The 10,310-nt window shown below is 42.1% G+C and overlaps 2 annotated features.

Annotated features, from left to right (window-relative positions):
- Positions 306-2,165: an enhancer, noted in NCBI's record as "VISTA enhancer hs669". NCBI's record gives its function as "enhancer in: midbrain (mesencephalon)[6/6]" and the evidence as "EXISTENCE:transgenic organism evidence [ECO:0001131][PMID:17130149]".
- Positions 4,306-4,823: an enhancer, noted in NCBI's record as "H3K27ac-H3K4me1 hESC enhancer chr8:92828759-92829276 (GRCh37/hg19 assembly coordinates)". NCBI's record gives its function as "activates a minimal SCP1, AML or CMV promoter by ChIP-STARR-seq in primed H9 embryonic stem cells {active_cell/tissue: H9 hESC(primed)}" and the evidence as "EXISTENCE:reporter gene assay evidence [ECO:0000049][PMID:30033119]".

Here is a 10,310-nt window from a genome sequence, read left to right on the forward strand (position 1 = left end):
CCAGAGAATATGGTACAAATTTCATATGTTGACTTAATGTATTATTTTAATTGTTTCACTATTACCCTTGCAATTTAGAAAGTCTCTTTTCCTGACATGATTAGGAACTCTGCCAAAGCAAATAGGTGTTCTGTGTTTTTTAAATCTATTAAGAATTTGCATTAATTTAAAATGAGAACAACAATCATGGGAAATAATTCTAAAATGTTTCCCCAGCTATTTATTCTGCATGTTGATGGGACAAATAACGTGAAGGGCAATAGGTATGAGCAGGTTATGGTTTCTTAATGTACCACACACCAATCAGATAGCTCCACAATGCAAGCCATTTATAATGTCCTTCGCTTTATATTCAGGCATTGACAATCAGAAACTGAAGCGAAACGCAATGATTCATTCAAAGTAGACCTGACATACAAACCTTTCTGAGGTGTGGATAATACATATTATGTGGATATACATAAATATCATAATTGTATGAGTTATTCGTTTTCTCTGTTGCTCAGTCATTCCTTGCTCTCTGCCATGAAAATGCCACTACAGTGTATTTGCCACAGTGGCCCCCAAAGCTTGAAAAAGTTAGGGGAGGGGGAAAGAGAACAACGAATAAAAACACGGTGGTGGCAGAATTCACATCTTCATGTCCTTTCCTGCCAGCCTGGCCTTCCATTTACGTCTGGGTGCTGGTTCTATCAAACTTCTGTCTTGTATCAATTTTTAGCAGCATGGATAATTTATTGCATCTAGGGTGATAGAAAACCAGCTTTATTCATCATTCAGCTTGCAAAAGATGTGTAGCTTCAGTCCCTTAATGGTGTCATTTTGGCTGAATGCTATTAACAGATTACCCGTGCCTAGGGCAGTGGAGCATGTGCAGCAGAAAGATAACCTTGTGTTCGTAATTTAATATTAACTGTTTTCTCCATAGTACCTCTTTCCAGTACATTAACAACAAACCAATATGGCCTTGTCCCCTGTGGTCATATTCTTCAGCAAAAAAAATGGATTACATGATAGCAAGTTCCTGAAGATTTACAATGAAGTATTACAAATCGCTCAACACTCGCTCTGCAGAAATGAAAAATAAACAGGCTTAGATTCAATCAGATTTAATTCCTCCAATGTAGCTTTACCGCACTTCAAAGGGTGCTCTTATTAATGTCTTGGTCAACAAATTTAACAGACATTTTTTTCTCCTTCTTATACGAAAGCCTCCAGTTGTGTTCAACATATAGTGAGATCAAGAAACTGTTTTATTTTATTTTATTTTTTTAGTGACTACTCTGTCACAGTTTGATATAAAAGTGTAAGCCATTTACAGAAAACTCTTTATGGAATTTTTATCCTATTCCATTCCCGGGAGCTAAATTTATATCCTGCATTAGCTATCATAGCACTAGAGTATTAGTCTTCTCCCTTTGCAAGCAGTTCAGGGCAGTCGGAGGCCCTATCACTCTCCACCACTCACATACACAGGCATTATGAGTTTATCTCATCTTCTGCAGCAAGTACCGGGCCCAATTCATTCCTTTAGGCTGCTTTACTAATAACCTATTCCTTATCAGGGCCTCTCCACCTCAGCTTGTGATCAAAGACCCAATTAATGGAATGGAGAAAGGTGAAGCATTCAAATAATGGAGACAGCTGTTTTTCTCTGTTAGAGAAAATCCATTTGTATTGTTATCGCACTCGCAAGTTCTGCAGCTCCTGTTTAATTCAGTCTTCCTCTATTTCTGCTGATGATAAAAAAAAAAGTCACAATGAACTCCGAAGAGAATGGCAGAAACATCACCGTGTTTCAACTCACTCTAGGAGTTATCAACTTGAAAGTGAAAACACAAGCAGATAAGAGGAGGAAATGTCCAACAAAGACCATATCAAAAAATTTTAAAATTTTTTCAAGCAGCATTCTCTATTCATCATTCTGAATTTTTTTGTTCAAGCTCTGTCTTATCCTGTATTGATCAGCTGTCTAACTCAGCAAAGCAGAAGCTGATAATATCTTGAGTTCCACATCAGTTGAAAAATAATTAAAGGCACAGAGTAATCATAATTGGTTGGTGGGGACATTTTTATGAACTTCATGCACTTATGGGTCCAGGAAACCTTATTAGAGCTCCAACTTTAAGTAGGATATTTCTCCACAAGTCACAACATTTTCCCCTAAACTGGTTATTAAACTATTTATTTCTTTTCCCCTTTAAACATTTTAAGAATGTCCTGCCCTCGATGCCATGCTTGCTTTACATACCTGAGCCCTAACATGAGAGGATTGTATGAGTGATTCTCAGACACAAAGTCTGATCATGTTAAGGCATCATTCCTCTGTAAAGAAATGTCACTTGTCTGTAAATGCTCTGTCCTTTCTGCCTGGTAATGGAGCAGGAAAGACCTCTTGGTTTTAGAATTAAGGCTATGCTGTCTATCTTCTCTCTTAATAAAAGCAGGTTAGATTCAAAGCTGGAAGAGAAACAAAGACAGTCTTTTGCTTTTACTTTGTGTAGAACATATTTCCTTGTAAGGGTCTAAATCCAGGATTGTTTTTGGTTTTGTCAAATAAAAAGAGAAACACGTACATTGTTTTTCTCCCCTCAGGAGAATTCCCTTGGAAAGCAAGAATGAAAATCACATATTTGAATTCCTGCCTGAACACATATAACTAGCAAAATAAACACGTACAGAGCTACAGTATATGCAATGAATAGAGACAGCAGAATCTTAAAGGGTTGTTCTCCCAGGCTGATCGCTCACAGGGGATTCCAAGATGTGTGTGAGAATGAGTGGAAAAAAAAAGCATTATGCATTTGCATGCAAAATGAACATTTAAAAGATTTTATGGAAATAAAGAATAATATGTATCAAACATGGTCTGGTAAACAGGTCGGGTTTTCCTATCATTTTTTCGTGACTTCAATCTTTAAAAACAACAACAACAAAAAAAATAGATAGGCTTTTTCCTTCTGTATTGGAATAAAACAACTCTTCCTCTCTTTGCATGTCATGGATCTTCATATTCTTTTCTTAATATTGAAACTAGAGCAAATAAATATGAAATAAAATAAATCACCTTTCTCAAGATATAAAATAGTAAAAGCAGAACTATCAATAATTTCCCTTAGGCATACTAAAAATACAGAGACACAGTTGGTATCAGTGGAGTAGAAAAAACAAAACAAATTATGAAATGCAGCTTTAATCCTTCAGCTGTGAAAGGAAAGATCTATAAACCTTTTAGTTTTTAGTATTTTTTAACTTTGTCTATATCAAGGCAATAGCATAAATATATAGTAACTTTTCTCTGGCAATGTTAGAATTACAGGAAAAAAAAACTTTCTTTTTTTAATAGAGGGACTTTGTCAGTCAGGATAGGCCAGTTATATTGGGGTAACAACCAACCACAGAAACCACAGTGGTTGAAAGCATTTATTTCTTATTCACACTATGTCCAGTGGGGATCAGCAGGGTATGCTGCTATCATATGTGCTCAGGGACAGAGAATGATAAAGGCCCCATCATCTTAGGGTGCTGCTTTCTCAATGCAATGCTTCAGGATGTATCAGGGCATAGATGAGAGCATGCAGAACATGTTCCCAACCATTAAATACTCAGGTCTAGAAGTCATCTTCATCAATTTCACTTACATGTCATTGGCCAAAGCAAGTCCCATGGCCACACCTAATTTTAAGAGTACATGCACCCAAAAGGAGATCCAGGAATCTTGGTGCATACTAAGGAACGATTTGTATTTGCTCCACTGTTTAAGAAAGGAAAGTATGCTGAAGATAATGTTCTTTGTTCAATCTTCCATTATAAATGATGCTATGATAACATGACACTAGGGGAGCCACATTCCACATTTAAGTTTAGCTTCTTTTTTTTTAGATGGAGCCTTGCTCTGTCACCCAGGCTGCAGTTCAGGGGCTCAATTTCAGGCTCACTGAAACTTTGGCCTCCCGGTGAGAGGTGACAGCGTGCTGGCAGTCCTCACAGCCCTCCCTCGCTCTCGGCGCCTCCTCTGCCTGGTTTCCCACTTTGGCGGCACTTGAGGAGCCCTTCAGCCCGCAGCTGCACTGTGGGAGCCCCTTTCTGGGCTGGCCAAGGCGGAGCCAGCTCCCTCAGCTTGCGGGGAGGTGTGGAGGGAGAGGCGTGGGTGGGAACCAGGGCTGCCCACGGTGCTTGCCGGCCAGCGCCAGTTCTGGGTGGGCGTGGGCTCGGCGGACCCCGCACTCGGAGTGGCCGGCTGGCCCCACCAGCCCTGGGCAGTGAGGGGCTTAGCACCTGGACCAGTAGCTGCTGTGCTCAATTTCTCGCCTGGCCTTAGCTGCCTTCCCACGGGGCAGGGCTCAGGACCTGCAGCCCGCCATGCCTGAGCCTCCCCTCCCACTCCGTGGTCTCCTGTGCCACCGGAGCCTCCCCGACGAGCGCCGCCCCCTGCTCCAAGGTGCCCAGTCCCATCGACCACCCAAGGGCTGAGGAGTGCGGGCCCACGGCACAGGACTGGCAAGCAGCTCCACCTGCAGCCCAGGTGCGGGATCCACTGGGTGAAGCCAGCTGGGCTCCTGAGTCTGGTGGGGACGTGGAGAACCTTTATGTCTAGCTAAGGGATTGTAAATAGACCAATCCGCACTTTGTATCTAGCTCAAGGTTTGTAAACACACCAATCAGCACCCTGTGTCTAGCTCAGGGTTTGTGAATGCACCAATGGACACTCTGTATCTAGCTACTCTGGTGGGGAGGTGGAGAACCTTTGTGTCTAGCTCAGGGATTGTAAATACACCAATTGGCACTCTGTATCTAGCTCAAGGTTTGTAAACACACCAATCAGCACCCTGTGTCTAGCTCAGGGTTTGTGAATGCACCAATCACCACTCTGTATCTAGCTACTCTGGTGGGGACTTGGAGAACCTTTGTATCCACACTGTGTATCTAGCTAATCTGGTGGGGAGGTGGAGAACCTTTGTGTCTAGCTCAGGGATTGTAAACGCAGCAATCAGCGCGCTGTCAAAACAGACCACTTGGCTCTACCAATCAGCAGGATGTGGGTGGGGCCAGATAAGAAAATAAAAGCAGGCTGCCGGAGCCAGCAGTGGCAACCCACTTGGGTCCCCTTCCACACTGTGGAAGCTTTGTTATTTCGCTCTTTGCAATAAATCTTGCTGCTGCTCACTCTTTGGGTCCACACCGCCTTTATGAGCTGTAACACTCACTGCGAAGGTCTGCAGCTTCACTCCTGAAGCCAGCGAGACCACGAACCCACCAGGAGGAATGAGCAACTCCAGATGCGCCGCCTTAAGAGCTGTAACACTCACTGCGAAGGTCTGCAGCTTCACTCCTGAGCCGGCAAGACCACAAACCCCACCAGAAGGAAGAAACTCCGAACACATCCGAACATCAGAAGGAACAAACTCCGGACACGCTGCCTTTAAGAACTGTAACACTCACCGCGAGGGTCCATGGCTTCATTCTTGAAGTCAGTGAGACCAAGAACCCACCAATTCCGGACACACCGGGTTTAAGCAATTCTCCTGCCCTAGCCTCCAGAGTGGCCAGGATTACAGGCACACACCACCACACTGGCTAATTTTTTTGTATTTTTAGTAGAGATGGCATTTCACCATGTTGCCTAGGCTGGTCTCAAACTCCCGGGCTCAAGCGATCCACCTGCCTTGGCCTCCCAAAGTGCTGGGATTACAGGCTTGAGCCACCACGCCTGGCCTAGCTTCTTTTTTCTTAGAAGTAGATGTTATATACACTTTGTATAAGAGGCAGGATCCTACTCAGACCACAATTTAATCTTTGATAAAGAGGTCTTATGCTGGAGCTTTAACTAATTTTACAATATAAAGTCTTTGAGAGCACATATACAGAATTTTCCTGATTCAAATCTACTAGGTTTACTGAATGAAAGTGTTTTTATGCTTTCAATGATTTACAATTAGATTATGTCATCTGGCTAAATAGTTTCTTAAATGGAGTATTCTGACCTAGAATACTTACTTATTTCCTTCCTTCCTTCCTTTCTTCCTGCATCTTTATTTATATTTATTCTATAGGTAAGATTGATGGTCTGCTATAGCCAAGCATGTATTTAGTTTTCATTTCAAGGATCAGGAAGAAGGCAGGTTCCTAGGTTTCAAGAGACTCAGTTTAGGGAAGGACTCAGACTAGAAACTGAAACTACACCAGATGAGGAAAAAGGATAACAATTACATTTTTAAAAGTAACATTGGGGGGAGGGGCTAAGATGGCCAAATAGGAATAGCTCTGGTCTGCAGCTCCCAGCGAGACCAATGCAGAAGGTGGGTGACTTCTGCGTTTCCAACTGAGGTATCTGGTTCATCTCACTGGGAATGGTTAAGCAGTGGGTGCAGCCCATGGAGGCAAGCAGAAGCAGGATGGGGCATCGCTTCACCTGGGAAGCGCAAGGAGCCAGGGCCCTACCTCCCCCTACCCAAGGGAAGCCATGAGGGACTGGGCTACTCCGCCGGGTTACTACACTTTTCTGACAGTTTTTGCAGTCTGCAGATCAGGAGATTCCCTTGTGTGCCTATACCATCAGGGCCCTGGGTTTAAAGCACAAAACTGGGTGGCTGTTTTGGCAGACATCGAGCTAGCTGCAGGAGCATTTCTTCATACCCCAGTGGCACCTGGAATACCAGTGAGAAAGAACCATTCACTCCTCTGGAAAGGGGGCTGAAGCCAGGGAGCCAAGTGGTCTCGCTGAGCGGTTCCTACTCCCACGGAACCCAGCAAGCTAAGAGCCACTGGCTTGAAATTCTCACTGCCAACACAGCAGTCTGAAGTGACCTGGGACTATCAAGTTTAGTGGGGGAAGGATGTCTGCCATTACTGAGGCTTTAGTAGGCGGTTTTCCCCTGACAGTGCTAAGGAGGTCTGGACTGGGTGCATCAAAGCAACTGTGGCCAGACTGTTTCTCTAGATTCCTCCTCACTAGGCAGGCATCTCTGAAGGAAAGGTAACAGCCCCAGTCAGGGGCTTACAGACAAAACCCCCATCTTCCTGGGACAGAGCACCTTGGGGAAGGGGTGGCTGTGGGTGCAGCTTCAGCAGATTTAATCGTTCCTTCCTGCTAGCTCTGCAGAGAGCAGCTGATCCTGACAAGAGAGATTCTCCCAGCACAGCACACCAGCTCTGCTAAGGGACAGACTGCCTCTTCAAGTGGGTCCCTCACCCCTGTGCCTCCTGACTGGGAAAAACTTCCCAACAGGGGTTGACAGACACCTCATACAGGAGACCTCCAGCTTGCATCAGGCCAGTGCCCCTCTAGGACGAAGCTTCCAGAGGAAGAAGCAGGCTGCAATCTTTGCTGTACTGCAGCCTCCACTGGTGATATCCAAGTAAACAGGGTCTGGAGTGGAACTCCAACAAAATGAAGCAGACCTGCAGAAGAGGAGCCTGACTGTTAGGAGGAAAAACTAACAAACAGAAAGCAACAACATCGACATCAACATAAAGGACCCCCATACAAAAAGCCCATCCAAAGGTCATCAGCCTCAAAGATCAAAGGTAGATAAATACATGAAGATGAGGAAAAAAAGTGAAAAGTGCTGAAAATTCCAAAAACCAGAATGTATCTTCTCCTCCAAATTATCGCAATTCCTCTCCAGCAAGGGCACAAAACTGGACAGAGAACGAGATTGACAAATTTGACAGAAGTAGGCTTCAGAAAGTGGGTAATAACAAACTCCCCTGAGCTAAAAGAGCATGTTCTAACACAATGCAAGGAAGCTAAAAACCTTGATAAAAGGTTATAGGAACTGCTAACTAGAATAACCAGTTTAGAGAGGAACATAAATGACCTAATGGAGCTGAAAAACACAGCACTAGAACTTCGTGAAGTATACACAAGTATCAATAGCTGAATAGATCAAGCGGAAGAAAAGATATCTGAGATTGAAGATCAACTTACTGAAATAAGGCATGAAGACAAGATTAGAGAAAAAAGAATGAAAAGGAAAAAAAAGCCTCCAATAAATATGGGACTAGGTGGAAAGACAAAACCTACATTGATTGGTGTACCTGAAAGTGATGAGGACAATGGAATCAAGTTGGAAAACACACTTCAGTTTATTATCCAGGAGAATTTCCCCAACCTAGCAACACAGGCCAACACTCAAATTCAGGAAATACAGAGAACACCACTAAGATACTCCTTGAGAAGAGCAACCAAAAGACACATAATCATCAGATTCTCCAAGGTTGAAATGAAGGAAAAAATGTTAAGGGCAGCCAGAAAGAAAGGTCAGACTACCTATAAAAGGAAGCCCATTAGACTAAGAGTGGATCTCTCTGCAGAAGCCCTACAAGCCACAGGAGAGTGGGGGCTAATATTCAACACTCTTAAAGAAAAGAAATTTCAACCCAGAATTTCATATCTACCAAACTAAACTTCTTAAGCAAAGGAGAAATAAAATCCTTTACAGGGAAGCAAATGATGAGGGATTTTGTCACCACCAGGCCTGTCTTACAAGAGATCCTGAAGGAAGCACTAAATATGGAAGGGAAAAACTGGTACCACCCACTGCAAAAACACACCAAAATATAAAGACCAATGACACTATGAAGAAACTGCCTCAACTAATGTACAAAATAACCAGCTAGCAACATGATGATGGGATCGAATTCACACAAAACAACATTAACCTTAAATGTAAATGGGTTAATGCCCTAATTAAAAGACATAGATAGGCAAATTGGAAAAAGAGTCAAGACCCAATTCAAGAGCACCCAGATTCATAAAACAAGTTCTCAGAGACCTACAAAGAGACTTAGACTCCCACACAATAATAGTGGGAGACTTTAACACCCCACTGTCAATATTAGACAGATCAACAAGACAGAAAATTAACAAGGATATTCAGGACTTGAACTCAGCTCTAGACCAAGTGGGCCTAATGGACATCTACAGAACTCTCCACCACAAATCAACAGAATATACATTCTTCTCAGTGCCACATAGCACATATTCTAAAATCGACCACATAATTGAGAGTAAAACACTCCTCGGCAAATGCAAAAGAATGGAAATTATAACAAACAGTCTCTCAGACCACAGTGCAATCAAATTAGAACTTAGGATTAAGAAACTCACTCAAAACCACACAACTACATGAATATTGAACAACCTGCTTCTGAATGACTACTGGGTAAATAACAAAATTAAGGCAGAAATAAATAAGTTATTTGAAACCAATGAGAACAAGGAGACAATGTACCAGAATCTCTGGGACACAGCTAAAGCAATGTTGAGAGGGAAATCTATAGCACTAAATGGCTACAACAAAAAGCTGGAAAGATCTAAAATCAACATCCTAACATCACAATGAAAAGAACTAAAGAAGCAAGGCAAACAAATTTAAAAACTGGTAGAAGACCAGAAATAACTAAAATTAGAGTAGAACTGAAGGAGATAGAGACACAAAATGCTTCCAAAAAAAATCAATCAATCCAGGAGCTGTTTTTTTTGAAAAGATTAACAAAATAGATGAACCACTAGTTAGACTAATAAAGAAGAAAAGAGAGAAGAATCAGACACAATAAAAAACAAGATCAAGGGGATGTCACCACTGATCCCACAGAAAAACAAACTACCATCAGAGAATACTATAAACACTTCTATGCAGATAAACTAGAAAATCTAGAAGTAGTGGGTAAATTCCTGGACAAATATACCCTCCCAAGACTAAACCAGGAAGAAGTCGAATCCCTGAATAGACCAATAACAAGTTTTGAAATTGAGGCAGCAATTAATAGCCTACCAATCAAAAAAAGCCCAGGACCAGACGGATTCACAGTAATTTCTACCAGAGGTACAAAAAGGAGCAGGTACCATTCCTCCTCCCTATTCCAAACAATAGAAAAAGAGGACCTCCTTCTTAACTCGTTTTGTGAACCAGCATAATCCTGATACTAAAACCTGGCAGACACACAGCAAAAAAAGAAAATTTCAGGCCAATATCCCTGATAAACATTGACATGAAAATCCTAAATGAAATACTAGCAAACTGAATCCAGCAGCACATCAAAAAGCTTATCCACCACAGTGAAGTCGGCTTCATCCCTGGAATGCAAGGCTGGCTCAACATATGCAAATCAATAAATGTAATCCAACACATAAACAGAACCAATGGCAAAAACCACATGATTATCTCAATAGTAGCAGAAAAAGCCTTTGATAAAATTCATCATCCCTTCATACTGAAAACTCTCAATAAACTAGGTATTGATGAAACATATCTCAAAATAATAAGAACTAATGATGACAAACCAACAGCCTATATCATATGGAA

Source organism: Homo sapiens, chromosome 8, assembly GCF_000001405.40.
Source record: "Homo sapiens chromosome 8, GRCh38.p14 Primary Assembly".
NCBI lineage: Eukaryota > Metazoa > Chordata > Mammalia > Primates > Hominidae > Homo > Homo sapiens.